The 15,375-nt window shown below is 45.7% G+C and overlaps 1 long non-coding RNA gene and 1 pseudogene across 1 annotated transcript; one reads left to right on the forward strand and one right to left on the reverse strand.

Moving 5' to 3' along the window:
- Nucleotides 1–1,320: 1,320 nt before the first annotated feature.
- LOC101929031 (uncharacterized) lies at nt 1,321–10,126 on the reverse strand. Its single transcript, XR_243387.4, has 6 exons — nt 9,895–10,126; nt 9,244–9,381; nt 8,661–8,776; nt 7,569–7,653; nt 2,709–2,789; nt 1,321–1,564 (listed from the first exon to the last, which is right to left on the reverse strand). It is a non-coding gene; the product is annotated as an uncharacterized LOC101929031 (long non-coding RNA).
- Nucleotides 10,127–10,243: 117 nt separating this feature from the next.
- The window catches only part of LOC102724181 (rhophilin-2-like), a 55,052-nt pseudogene continuing 49,920 nt past the window's right edge, over nt 10,244–15,375 (forward strand).

Below are 15,375 nucleotides of genomic sequence, written 5' to 3' on the forward strand. Positions count from 1 at the left end.
CCTAAGGAAATGGCTGTGTGCCCTTGAGCCTGCCTTGACTGAATCACCAGTGGCCTTTGAACCATGGCACTCAATTCATGGCATGGCCAGTGAGCTACAAAGTGTCCTAGCATCGACCAAGCAAAGTTATAAAGGCAGATTCAGTGGACAATAAGGAACATTAGTTTTAGAGTCAAAAAGACCTGGGTTGGGTCCCAGCTCTGCCATTTACCAGCTGCGCGACATCAGAAAAGTTACCTTCATCCTCCAACTTTGGTTTCCTCACCTGTGACATGACAGTGGCTAGAGGACCTCATAGAATCACTGTGAGGACAAGAGCAGCCAAGGGTAAGTCTTTGCACAAGGCCTCCCCGGTCATTATTGGGTCATCAAGACATAACCGTGCCTTATCTCCACTTCCAAAACCCAAACAGCTCTCAAAAATGAGTCATTGTAGCTCATTTGGAAGAAAAGACTGATATGAATCAATATGCAACTACCTACAATCTTTCTCTATCCCTCTTACTGTGAATATTTGCTGTGGAAATATTAACATGTTTGGTCTCCACTGGGGTAGGACTCCACATGTGTAGGACTCCACTGGGGTGCTACACATACACATAGTAGATATGCCTTACCACCTTCCGAAAATTGGGTAATTAAATTTCACAACTTATCTAGCCCAAAGGTTTCAGAGACTGTAGACCTGTATCTTTATGAGGGCAAGGATGAGAGTATAACCTGGCCTGTTATTATGCACCAAGGTACCTGCTGTTCTCATGAAGATGTCAGCAGCCAGCCAGCCAGTCTCTACAAACTCCACCCCCAACCTCGCTATGCTCCTTTCCCTGGAACTTTCCAAGGGGCCCTTAGAATTTGCATTCAGCTCTCACAGGCTGAGACCAGGGTGACATCCTGGGAAACCTGCCTAGTGATAGCCAAGGTGTAGCTCCAGATGAAAGGCACACAACAACTTTAAATATAAAAAAGCCATTCAGGCTAGGCATAGTGGCTCACATGTGTAATCCCAGCACTTTAAGAGACCGAGGCAGGCGGATCACCTGAGGTCAGAAGTTCAAGACCAGGCTGGCCAACATGGCAAAACCCAGTCTCTACAAAAAAATATAAAAATTAGCTTGGCATGGTGGCGCATACCTGTAATCCCAGCTACTCAGGAGGCTGAGGCACGAGAATCGCTTGAATCTGGGAAGCAGAGGTTGCAGTGAGCCAAGCTTGCACCACTACACTTCAGGCTGGGCAACAGAGTGAGACTCCATCTCAAATAAATAAATAATAAAGCCATTCAACTAAAGAACCGATTATCAAGCAGAAGCACAAAGCCCAGGTTCCATCAGGTTTTTAATTGTACATCAGTGACTGTGAAAAAGCAATTATTTCCATAATTAATATACAAACTATAAAAAAACAGACTCAAAGAAAAGAAAGATGACAGAGTGAAAGAAGGTACATTTCTTTCATGTTCAAACCACGGAGTTCACAACACAGCAGCACACACAGCCGGGCGCTTTGTGGTCTCGGCACCCTCGGCTTCCCCTTCACGAGGCCGCTTTCGACTAGTAGAAGGCTGAAAATAAAGGAAAATGGAGAAATGTTCAAAAGAAAATCACTGGCTTCTTTAAGATTATCAAAGTTCCTCAATGTACTTCCAGTAAAGTGGGGGCATTTGATGTGAAATTCTAGTACCAAAAATTACTGGTTTTCATCATTGACAACTGAGTCCTCATCACAGCCCGCAACTCAGACATGCTTATCTAATAGATATTTCTCTCCCTTATGGCTTCTGACCTCTGAATGATGTATACTGAAAGCAAGTAGCATAACCAACTTCCTCTTGATCATCCTCTTCTAAATATCAAGTTTAAAAGGACTACAATACCTCTCAGTTGAAGCCCCAAGTCTTGGTCTTTTGCGGGAAGACAACCTTTGTGCCTTAGTTGTTTTCCCATATGCAAAATTGGGAGGAAGGCTGGGTGTGGTGACTCACACCTGTAATCCAAGCACTTTGGGAAGCCGAGGTGGGTAGGTCATTTCAGGTCAAAAGTTCGAGACAAGCCTGACCAACATGGCAAAACCCCATCTCACCTAAAAATACAAAAATTAACTGGGCACAGTGGCGGACACCTGTAGTCCCAGATACTCAGGAGACTGAGGCAGGAGAACTGCCTGAACTCAGGGGGCAGAGGTTGCAGTGAGCTGAGATTGCACCACTGCACTCTGGCCTGAGTGACAGACTAAGAGTCTGTCTCAAGAAAATAAAAATCGGGGGGGAGAAAACAGTGGGAAAAAGGACAGCTACCATTCAACAACAACAACAACAAAAAAGCAGGACTGGAATTAACTTATACTCACAAAGAACTTTAAAGAATAAAATTGTAATCAAGGAATCAACTACGGACCCAAATTTTAATTTTCCAACAAATTTATATTTGAGCCTCTAATAGAGTCTTTTGAAATTGCCTTGCAGGTGACCTTTTGGATGACAATCCCTAGCTGTGCTTATCTGTCTATTATGTGTTAGATATTAAACATAACCTGCATTTTTAAATCTAAGGGTGCTAGAGTGAATCAAGTTCAAAGAGAGTTTCTACTACATTATAACTGAAACAATGTTAAGCAATTATTACTCAGGAAAATCTTGAATTTCATCTCTTTACTTATCAGCTCCTTAAGCCTAGACTACATTTAGTGATCATCAGGAATACGAATACCTGGGCTAGAACCTGGGATAGACCTGTGGATTCATTTTCCTCAGACAGAAGATCTTGAAACTTTCTCTTCATGTCTTCATCCTGTGAGGGAATTAAAAACATAAGTAGCTGTGTCTGAAGGATAATAAACTCCTAGAATGACAGGGCTAGCATGCCCCTGTGGAAAGAGGGAGGAAAAGATGTCCGTCCAAGAATCATCCCCTTGATGAAGCTCCCACAGCGAAGGCATTATGTGTTGCCCCCCTCTACCTTCCCAGAGGAGTCAAATTAGCAGTCAATGCTCCATCAATCCTGGCTGACTCACATCCACATGCCTAAAAGCTCTCAGTGGGTCAATCACAGCCTCCGGCAGTCAAGAGTTTCTGAATTAGCATCCCAGATCCTGAGAAAGGTGACAATCAGGGGGCCAGGGGCTGGGTCTGACTCCGTGCAGCTCCTCAAATCCTTCCAGGACAACTCTCCACCTGCTGCCCCTGCCATGAATGAGGCCAGTCACCCAGGCTGTCCTAACAACCAGCCCAGCACCCTAGGAAAATTCACCCAGCAGATGCCATACAAATTTTCAGAAGTACTTAAGGCCACAATATCCCAGAGCTCAGGTCTAATGAGAAAGGGAGACAATAAACATAACAAAGCATTACAGCTGTTTCATGCTGCAGGAGCGGGAGATGAGGAGGGCACAGACAGTGGGTATACGAGTAGCTCCCACCTCTCTGGATGCTTACTTCTGCAGGGTTCAAGGATTTGCATTAGGAAACCCTGAGAGGTGGTCTGATGCAGCTCTCCCCAACTTCAGCAAGGTGAAAGGAACATCTATAACTAGGAATGTGGCCTTTGAGTTCTGGCCAGAAGCCCAGCTCAGCCACTCACAGGTGGCATGTGCAGAATACAGACCCAGAGTTATCTGACTCCAATGCCTCATGTACTTTCCCACCCAACTCCAGCCCCTCCTCCCACTGAGCCAAGCATACCACAGTGGGGAAAGAGAGAGGATACAGTAAAGTCCTCCACCATTTGGCAATTTGATGGATATGGAAATTTTACAACACTAGGTTGGGCATGGTGGCTCATGCCTATAATCCCAGCACTTTGGGAGGCCAAGGTGGGAGATTTGCTTGAGGCCAGGCATTTGAGACCAGCCTGGGCAACATACTGGGACTTTGTCACTACAAAAAAATTTAAAAATTAGGCCAGGCACAGAGGCTCACGTCCGTAATCCCAGCACTTTGGGAGGCCAAGGCGGGCGAATCACCTGAGGTCGGAAGTTTGAGATCAGCCTGGCTAACATGGTGAAACCCCGTCTCTACTAAAAATACAAAATTAGCCAGGCGTGGTAGTGCATGCCTGTAATCCCAGCTACTCAGGAGGCTGAGGCAGGAGAATCGCTTGAACTCGAGAGGTGGAGGTTGCAGTAAGACAGGATCACACCACTGCACTCCAGCCTGGGCAAAAGACTACGACTCTGTCTCAAAAAAAAAAAAAAAAAAAAAAAAAATTTAAATTAGCCAGACACGGTGGCATGCACCTGTAGTCTCAGCTACTTGGGAGGCTGGGGCAGGAGGATCACTTGAGCCTGAAAGTCATGGTGCAGTGATCATGCCACTGCACTCCAGCCTAGGTGAGACAGCAAGACCCTGAGGAAGGAAGAAAGGAAAGAAGCAAGGAAGGAAAAAGGGGGGGGGATGAAAGAGGGGAGGGGAAAGGAATGGAGGAGAGGGGAGGGGGAAGGAAGGAGGAAGAAAGAAAGAAGGAAAGAAGGACCAGGCACAGTGGCTCATGCCTGTAATCCCAGCACTTTGGGAGGCCAAGGCAGGGCAGATCACTTGAGGTCACTCTGTTTTGAGTTTCTCAGTGTAGCTCTCCATTGCCATTTGACAGCAGCAAGCTCATCTGGATTCCTCTCCGCACCCTCTCACAGCCTTACTTAGGATCTCAATTATCTTGCAGTGTCACTCTCAAAAGTCCACCTCTTGGCAGCCCTTCAGTGAAGCCAAACAGAGCGGTCACAAGCCTAATCAGGCTTATATTTAAAACAAGTAATCAGGTCAGGCACAGTGGCTCATGCCTGGAATCCCAGCACTTTGGGAGGCCAAGGTGGGTGGATCACCTGAGGTCAAGAGTTCGAGACTAGTCTGACCAACATGGTGAAACCCCATCTCTACTAAAAATACAAAAATGAGCTGGGCATGTGGCAGGCACCTGTAATCCCAGCCACTTGGGAGTCTGATGCAGGAGAATCACTTGAACTCAGAGGTGGAGGTCACAGTGAGCTGAGATCACACCATTGCACTCCAGCCTGGTAGACAAAAGTGAGACTCCATCTCAAAAAAGGCAATAAATAAATAAACATTGATTTTCTTCATAATGTCTACAATTATTCCAAAATATTAAATTAGCCAGGAACAGTGGCTCGTGCCTATTATCCAAGCACTTCATGAGGCTGAGGTGGGAGGATCCCTTAAGTCCAGGAGGTCGAGGCTGCAGTGAGCTGTAATTGCACCAGTGCACTCCAGTTTAGGCAACAGAAGAAGTCCTTGTCTCCAACAATAAATAAAATAAAAATTAAATTATAATATCCCTTGAAAGCAAACAGAAGAAATCCTCTATTTCAGGCAGTAAATATGAGGCAGACAGTAGATGTAAGGGATGCTCCCAAAACTGGGCACTCTGTTAATGACAAAACAGAGACCAGAATCCACATTCCCAACACTCAGTCCAGCGCCAGAACCACAAAACCATTTGGTTTTTGTGAAAACACTGAATTTTCCCAAAATAAAACCCAAACTATCACTAACAGATGTTTTAGATGGTCAGTCTTCATCTTTGTCTTCATTCAATGCTCATTCCTCCTTTTACTGCAAAAACAAAAGGTGGCTAAAAGAGTATTCCAGGGAGATTCTGCAACGGAGTTGAACTTCACCTTCTCCTTGGTTGTTAATAAGTTTTCTTTGAGACAAAGAAGCACAAGAAAAATAGGCTATGCTTGCTCATAAATTTCAGGCAGATGCAAACCCTGTTCCCAGGCTCAACTGGCCAGCTCTGTTTTTTTGCTAGAGATGAACACAGCTCCTGTACCTCTACATTTAGAACCAAGAGTTTCCCTATTAGGACACATGAAAAGAGCCAAAAGACATGTTTCTCTTTTTCATCAAAATTAAAATCCCCACATGCAAAGGCACCCTTTGTTTCCAAACCCCCTTCCTCTAGGTTCCTGCTGTTTCAAATCTGTGTGGTCTATTAAATGCTAAATCATCTGACAGATTTCTTCTGGGGAGACTATAGTTTCCAGGGCAACATCCAAAACACATATATCTGTCTTTTTTTTTTCTTAAGTTTTTGTTGTTCTCAACCTGAGCTGGCCTGAGCAAAACTGTTAGGTGTAGAGGATTAGAACAGAGAATGGGGACAGTCTTCCCAGAGTCCCAGAAGTACGGGGCTGAGGCTGGATTTCCCAAGGAGTTCCTGGACCAGTAATCCCCAGAGAAACAGCATTTAGCTCAAGTAACAGCCTCTAGCTCAAGCTACCAGTTCTGTCCCCCATCTCCACAGAAAACGGATTGATACAGTTTGGCTTTGTGTCCCTATGCAAATCTCATCTCAAATTGTAATCCCCAGGTGTTGAGAAAGGGACCTGTTGAGAGGTGATTGGCTCATAGGGGCAGTTCCCCCCAGGCTATTCTCATGATAGTGAGTGAGTTCTCACGAGATCTGACAGTTTCATAAGAGGCTCTTCACCCTTCACTTCCTTCACAAGCTCTCTCACCTGCTGCCATTAAGACATGCCTTCTTCCCCTTCCACCATGATTATAAGTTTCCTGAGGCCTCCCCAGCCATGTGGAGCTGTGAGTCAGTTAAAGCTCTTTTCTCTATAAATTACCCAGTCTTGGGCAGTTCTTTATAGCAGTGTGAGAACAGACTAATACACAGACCAAAAGAAAATTAATAGAAAGGGGCATGGCTGTGCTGAATGGAACTGCTCGTTACAGAAGACCAGACATCTATCAGAAAAACCTGCCCAATGCCGTAGCTAATTCCAAAACTAAAGATTAACCCAGCAAAGCCACAATGTACTTCCAACTCTTGGCAGTTCCAAATGAGGTCAGCATTTAATAATGGCAGCCCCTAACCCTAGCAGGAGCACAGCAGTAACACAGATGAAAGGTGCAGGTGACAGCCTTCACTAAGGACACATTTACTCATCTGAATGAACAAGCAGTGGGACCCTTTATACCCAGTCACTTGGGCTTGAGAAATAGCTGGATTCTCCCCAGGGAGGCTGCCCTCCTCCCCCAGTTCCCTGATTTAAGGTTGAAGATGGCTGGAATGCACCCCACCTGTGAAGAACAGTGGACATGGCTTGGGGTAGAGCCAGAACAAGACCTCAAAAGGACACAGGCCAAACTGGAGACTCGGGGCAGCCAGGTGGAACCAGAACAGGACATAAAGTGAGCTTGTACATCCAACAGCCATGAGTAACATCAAAAAGGTTGTAGCCTGGCCAACACGGCAAAACCCCATCTCTACAAAAAATACAAAAAGTAGCTGGGCGTGGTAGCATGCACCTTTAATCCCAGCTACTTGGGAGGCTGAGGCAGGAGGATCACTTGAACCCGGGGGGCAGAGGTTGCAGTGAGCTGAGATTGTGCCACTGCACTCCAGCCAGGGAGACAGAATGAGAACCTGTCTCAAAAAAGGAAAAAAAAAACAGGTTGTAACCCATCTGCCAAGATACTCCCCCAATACATTAAAACAATTAAACAGATTCAACAAAGTAAATATGTTTCTGTCCTCTGTCTCATGTCTCTCATGCAGCAGGGCTTCCCATGTATTTTATGCTAGCAGGCACTGTCCCACACCCACCTGAAACCATGGTGTCTTAAGGCTTCTTCTGTCGTAAAACATGCCTTTGGATCCACTACCAACAACTTCTTGACAAGGTCCAGAGCTAAAGCAACAATTGGGCAAATCACAGTGAAAAGTATAAATATATTATCAGTAACAGTATGCCAGAATTAACAGGTCACCATCCAGAAAGAGCAGAGAGGGTCTGAGATCATCAGGGAGTCAGCAGACAGGGCCCCTTAATCTTCCTCATTCTCTGTATTCAGAGTACTGTGAGAAGACCAGGAATGACAATGACACTCCCTGTCTCCTGCTGCTGGGACATCAGTCACTACCTCTTCGTTGCCTGTTCCCTCTCTTGTTGCTAGACTCGAGGTCAAACTAATTAAAGCTAAACTTCTACCCAATTCTAAGATAACTGGGATGCACAGCAAACTCTCCCTGACATCTACAGATGGATGGGTGACAGTTACTCAGCCAGGGAGAGGCTCCCTGGAACTGCAGACTTGTCAGAAATAAAACTTGACTACTCCAGCAAGCAACAAATGCACGCTGGCCTGTATATTACAACATTATTATTCCTTAAATATTCTGACATTTAACACAATCACCTATGTTATGTTATTTGACATTTAATTTTCTACTTTCTCTTCAGGGAACTAAAGTTGCCAGGATAAATTATAAAATATAAGGTAACTAAAGACATCTAGTTTTTACACGCTTGCTTACTCAAAGGAAACCTTGTAACTAAAAAGTTACAAGTGCATTTATTTTGCTCATTAAAATAGGTACCAGGCACTTGTGTACATTATCCCTAACCCTCAAAAACCTTTTAAGGTAGGGATTATTGAGGGTCCCTTTACACAGAAAGAAATTGGAGACAGAGGTTAAATAACTTGCCTAAGGCCACACAGCTAAGTAGTAGCAGACCCAGGACCTGAGTGCATGCTCTTAATAATTTCCAGTGCCTCTCAAATGGTGTGAAACTAACGATAGAAAATAAGAACAGAATTGACAGGAGAAAACACCATGGAATTTGGAGAGAAACTCCCACCACAGGACACACACATTTTAGAATACCACAAATTCTTAACCCTTTCATATTCATACCTTTCTCTGAGATTTCTGCCCAGACTTTAGGAATGAAGTTGTGTTTTCCACTGGTGATCTGATCCTTCAGTGACACTTGAGTCCTATGCTCAGAGAAAGGTGGATACCCACTAAGGCTTAATAATGGTAGAGAGAGAAAGGAAAAGAAATCAAGTGGCATTCTCAGTGGCATTCAGATATAAAGATTTCTTTTTCAGCATAATGAAAAGTCTGATTTTTCTTTAAATCAATGGTCAAAAAGTGAGCTAGGCTGGGCACAATGGCTCATGCTTGTAATCCCAGTACTTTGGGAGGCCGAGGGAAGAGGATCACTTGAGCCCAGGAGTTCAAGACCAGCCTGGGCAACATGGCAAAACCCCATCACTACAAAAAATAGAAAAATTAGCTGGGCATGGTGGTGTGCGCATGTAGTCCCAGCTACTCGGGAGGCTGAGGTGGGAGGATCACTTGACCCAGGAGGCAGAGGCTACAGTTAGCCAAGATCAAGCCACTGCATGCCAGCCTGGACAACAGAGCAAGACACATTTGTGACTTCATCTAATCACCTCCTACCAGTCTGTGAAGCAATGAAAATATTTCTTACCAGATAAAAAGAATAACTCCTAAAACCCAGCAGTCCAACACAAACAAGAACTTCAGGAGCCAAGCAGGTGGGGGTTCCACATAAGGTTCTCACGAGAGAGGTCTCTCCCAAAATCTTGGAGTGCCCAAAATCAGTAATCTAAAATTCAGTACAAAAGGGAATAATGTTGAACTTGTCATAAAATAAAAAGATTAACATAGTCTGCCAGTCCAAGAAGGCACGTAGGCTAGATCAGTTTCTATTGTACAATTCACACCTGCCATTAATCTGGAATCTACAGATTCATGTCTTTGCAAGTTAAGACATTTAACTTTGCTTAAATTAAAATTCCTGAGCCTAGGAATCTCAACACTCAGGCTTTCCAACTTAACCTATGTCCTCTGTAATCTTACAAAAAGCTTATTACCTTTATCACAGACACTTCAGGATTCTAATTAGTTCTACATGTTTCTTAGACCCCACTGTCTCAAACATGGCTGCGCTATGGAATACCTGTGGAGCTTGGAAAAACATGCTTATACCTGAGTGCCACTCTCAGCTTCTGAGGTAAAGCCTGGGTATCATAAATCCTAACAAGAGATTCTAAAGTGATGCCAGGCTTGATAAACAGGGAAAGGCAGGGCATGTGATTACACTCATTCATTCATTCACCTATTCTGCTCAAAGGGAGACAGTGTCCCCAAGGTCTGTGCTGAGGAGAAAGCTGCTCTGCCTTCGAGGTGTACCCCGGGTCTGTGCTGAGCAGAACGCAGCTCCGCCCTCGCGGTGCCCCCGGCCCGCCCGCCCGGGTCTGTGCTGAGGAAAACACTGCTCCGCCTTCGCTGTATCTCCGAAGTCTGTGCAGAGGAGAACTCAGCTCGCCCTCACGATGCAATCTGGGTCTGTGCTGAGGAGAGCGCAGCTCCGCCCTCGCAAAGGCGCACAGCGCGGGCGCAGGCGCAGAGAGGCGCACATTTTATGAATAGCAAATCAATTTCTCCCTGTTCCTCTTACATCGAGGCTGGACACACGTTTACAGGGGATCAGTGTGAAGGGAAGCTGGTGAGGCTGCCTGAGAAGCCCCCTGCCTGCGTCTCCCAGTGGACTCCTTGGGAGCGCCCCCTCCCCTGCTCTGCCCAACAGCGCCTGAACTGTGGCCACTTGCACTCCTGTTGCCTACCCAGTGGCTTGAACTCCAGAACTTGCCACCCTTCAGTGGAATTCCTGGAGGAGTGAGGAGCTCTGTGCTATGCTTGGCCACCGAACATGGGCCATCTCTCCTATTATGGTTTGAAATGTACCGTAGTGTCTTGTTTGGTAATTGTATAATAATATGGGGAGACTGTGCGGGTGTCTGCTAGCTTGTCTGCTGGTTCTTACTCATGGTGCCTTCTTCCCTTTCAGACTTGGATATCTTTGTGTGCTTCTTGGGGCCCTTGGAAGGGTGTCTGTGGGGTTTCCGTGAGGCCAAAGACAGAGGTTCCTTCTCACGAGGATGGTGTTTGCTTTCACATGGACAGCCCAGACCACCTGGAACCAAGTGCACAGAAGCCCCACCATCCCCGGGCCTCCCAGTTGTGATGGGTGAGCGGTCCAAGTCCGCAGGAGGCCAGAGGCTCTTTGTGGTTGAATCTGTGAGTTTCCTTTCCTTTTTCCCTCCCACTCCTTTTAATGCTAATGAATTCCTTGTTTGGGGGCAGGGGCCAGGGTTATCTCTTCTTCTGTCTTCACCCAAGGTGAGGCCTTTCAGGCTCCCAGCTTGATATGGGGGTGAATCCCCTATCAGCCTCCTCATACCTTGACCTCTGTCTACCCCCCTACTCCCTCCAAGGTCGAAGCCCAACTTGCCAGGTTGGCAAATGCTCACAGGCAACAATGGCCCCAGCGCTCCTCCCTAGGTTCTTGATTTTCCCCTGAAACTTGGCCTGGAGGTTTCCTACTAGCTTAGCAGCCCTTTGATGCTTTTAACGTAATTTTGTTATTATTTTATCCAAAATTCTTGCTTGTTTTAAGAGGGAAAGCAGGTCGGCCATTACTGCACAGAGAATCTGGGACAGTTATTATAACCATAGAAATTTATTTTCCATGTGCTGTCCCATCTTCTTGATGAGACAGATGTTTAACAGCTGGAGAACTGGACCCCGTATTTGTCCCCATCTTGCCTAGCAACAGAAGGTAGTCACTAATCAGGGATTTTCGAGCCCATTGCTTAAGGCCTTCATTGACCCAAAGGATAGTGGGTCCCTGCTCCTCTTCCTGCGGAGAGGCCCAGGTGCCCAGAGGGCCCTCCTGGCTTGGCTGCCTACAGAGTGGCTGATGAAGTGTCCGCTGTGCGCACAGGACACCCAGCCCCACTCCTCCCCAGGCAGCCCCTCAAACAGCTGTTGCTCTGCCTGCTTCGGCTGTGGACCTGAGGCTGAGAGGCTGAGCCATCGCCCTGAGCCGCATGCAGGGGAGTGGCAGGCCTGGACCCAGTGCCCAGACCTGGCTCACCTGACCTTACTTTTTCCACTGTGCCTGCTTCTCCCTCCCAGGCTCTGTGACCTTGGGCAGCCATGGCCATCCTGTGCCCATTCCCAGCTGTAAAATGAGAGGCTGGGCTGGCTGATCTCAAATGTCCCCTGCCAGCCTGAGATTCTGTGTTGTGTCCTGGGGTGTGACTGTGACATGCCACCAAAGGCAGCTGCCAGTGCTCATGAGGGAGGCCTTTTTCCTGAGTTAAGGCAGGTGGGGGGACTGGGGGTGAGTTGAGGGACTGGGAGGTGGGGGAAGCACACAGACAGTCCTCCCCAGCTGAGCGCTCATGGTGAATTACCTTCAGTCCCAGGCTCAGTGCTTTGGAAATGCTCTCAGGCCCAGCACCCAGGCCTGGAACCAGCCTCCAGGCCCCTGGCCCTCCCTTTCTCTACTGGAATCTTCCAGACCGAGGCAGGTCAGCTGAAAGTCACCGACTCTGCCTTCCACAAACTCATAGCTGACAGACCATTCCATGTCCCCTCCCAGCCCCGTCCCAGGAGCGGAACTCACTTTGCCTTCCCACCCTCCAGGCCGACTCACTGTCCGTCACTCTCTGGGTCCCACCCACTGTCCCACCGACTTCATTGGTCTAAAAATATGCTCTGGCATCTTGTTGGAAAGCAGCAGGAATGATGGGCCCTGCTGATAAGGTGAAGAAAGTGACCCGAGGGGGCAAACTTACGGACGGGACATACTTTGGCAAAACAACAAAACAGCGGGACCTGAAGGCTGGCTTCCCAAGCGTCCTCAAGGCCTTGTGCCAGGAACAGGACCCTCGGGCTTAGGAAAGTGAAAACCAGGCTCAGGTCCCTCACCCAGACCCTTCTGCCCGCTTTGGGAGGGAGCCCAAGAAGTCAGCTAGGGAGGGACCTCCCGGTGGGACCTGAGTCCTGATTGGAACTTTCTGGGGGCTTTCTTGGCATTTTACGTGTGTTGTCACAACTCCTTGATGGGAGAATTAAGCATGGTCTGTGGGATTCCACTGGGAGAGGACCCCTAAAAGCCTGGGCCGGGCCTCCTCCCAATTTCACCCCATATGCCTTTCCCTTTGCTCATTATGCTTTGTGTCTTTTGCTGTAGTAAACCGTAGCCATGACTTTTGCAAGTCCTCCTAGATTAACACTGAACTTGGGGGTGGTTTTAGGGACCCTGACGTACCTATGGATGTCAACTTGCTTTAGCACTATTTGTTGAAACAATAATCTTTTCCACATTGAATTGATTTGGCACTTTTGTTCAAAATCAATTGTAAAGATTTGCTACATGAATGTAAACATTTATTCCTGGACTCTTTTGTTGTTTTTTTCATGAGATGGAGTCTCGCTCTATCACCCAGGCTGGAGTGCAGTGGTGCAATCTCAGCTCACTGCAAGCTCCGCCTCCTGGATTCACACCATTCTCCTGCCTCAGCCTCCTGAGTAGCTGGGACTACAGGTGCCCACCACCACACCCGCCACCACGCTCTACTAAAAATACAATTTTTTTTTTTGTATTTTTAGTAGAGACGGGGTTTCACCATGTCAGCCCGGATGGTCTCGATCTCCTGACCTCGTGATCCATCCGTCTTGGCCTCCCAAAGTCCTGGGATTACAGGCATGAGCTACCACACCTGGCCTATTCCTGGACTCTTATTCTGTTTAATTGCCTATTTTTATGTCAGTACCATGCTATCTTGATGACTATGGCTTCTTAGTAAGTTTATTTTTTATTTTTTATTCTTTTTGGGGATGGAGTTTCTCTCTTGTTGCCCAGGCTGGAGTGCAGTGGTGTGATCTTGGCTCACTGCAACCTCTGCCTTCCAGGTTCAAGTGATTCTCCTGCATCAGGCTCGCGAGTAGCTGGGATTATATGCGTCTGCCACCACACCTGGCTAATTTTTTTGTATTTTTAGTAGAGATGGGGTTTCACTGTGTTGACTAGGCTGGTCTCGAACTCCTGACCTCAGGTGATCTACCCGCCTCAGCCTCCCAAAGTGCTAGGATTACAGACATGAGCCACCATGCCCAGCCCAGCTTCTTAGTAAATTTTAAAATCAATATGTTTTCCAACTCTGTTCTTATTTTTCAAAATTATTTTGCCTATTGTAGGTTTTTTTTTTGCATTTCCATTCAGCTTGCCGAGTTTTATTAAAAAGGTTACTGGGATTTTGATTGAGGTTGCATTGAATGAATGTACCAACTAAGGAGGCTTGACATCTTGACAATAATGAGCCTTCCCATCCGTAAACATGGAATAGCTCTTCTTTTAATATATCTCAGCATTGTTTTGTAGTTTTCAGTTTACATGTCTTGTGATTCTTTTGTTTATTCCTGAGTATTTTATTCTTTTTGATGCTATTGTGAATGGAATGGTTTTCTCAGTTTCAAGATTGTTCAGTGCTATTATATAGAAATTGAATTGGCCAGGCACAGTGGCTCATGCCTGTAATCTCAGCACTTTGGGAGGCTGAGGCAGGAAGATTGCTTGAGCCCAGGATTTCTGGGCCAGCCTGGGCAACATAGTGAGACTCCATCTCTACAAAAAAAATACAAAAATCAGCCAGCGTGGTGGTGTGCACCTGTAGTTCCAGCTCCTTGGGAGGCTGAGGCTGGAGGATGGCTTCAGCCTGGGAAGTTGAGGCTGTAGTAAGCCATAATGGTGGCATTGCACTCCAGCCTAGGTGACAGAGTGATACCCTGTCTAGAGAAAAAAAAAAAGAATTGATTTTTGTATATTGATTATACCCTGTGACCTTGCTAAATTTATTAGTACTAATATTTATTTTATGGATGCCTTAGGATTTTCTATATATAAGATAATGCCATCTGTAAATAAAGACAGTTTTATTTTTTCCTTTCTAATCTGGATGCCTTTAATTTCTTTATTTGCCTCATTGATTAGAAATAGCAAAAGTGGGCATCTTTGCCTTGTTTGTGGTGAGAAGAGGAAAGCAGTCATTCACCACAAAGTGTGATGTTAACTGTGGGTTTTTATAGGTGTCTTTTATCAGATTTCATAAATTCTCTTTTATTTCTACTTTGTTGAGAATTTTTATTATGAATCTGTGATGGATTTTGTCATATAGTTTTTCCAATATCTGTTGAAGTCACCATGTGTTTTTTGTCCTTTATTCTGTTAATATAATATATTATATTGATTTTCAGATGTTAAACCTACCTTGCATTCCTGGGATAAATCCCACTTAGTTATGGTGTATAATCCTATTTATATGTTGCTAGGCTTGGGTTGCTAATACTAGTTTACAGAATGAATTGGGAAGCATTACCTCTCCCTTCATTTTCTCATTCATTTATTTTATTTTACTATCATATATATATATATATATAATTTCATATTATCTTATTTTAGTTTTTAGAGACAGTGTCTTGCCCTGTCACCCAGGCTGGATTGCGGTGGTGTGATCATAGTTCACTGCAGTATCAACCTCCTGGACTCAAGCGATCCTCCTGCCTGGGACTATAGGCATGCACCACCATGCCCAGCTAATCATCCATTTCTTTCTTTTTTTAAAACAAATTTTATGTTTATTTATTTATTTATTTGGATTTCTCCTACCGAAAGGAATCATTCTTTTTTTTTTTTTTTTTTTTTTGAGAGGGAGCCTTGCTCTGTTGCCCAGGCTGGAGTGCAGTGGCA

Source organism: Homo sapiens, chromosome 16 (genome assembly GCF_000001405.40).
Source record: "Homo sapiens chromosome 16, GRCh38.p14 Primary Assembly".
NCBI lineage: Eukaryota > Metazoa > Chordata > Mammalia > Primates > Hominidae > Homo > Homo sapiens.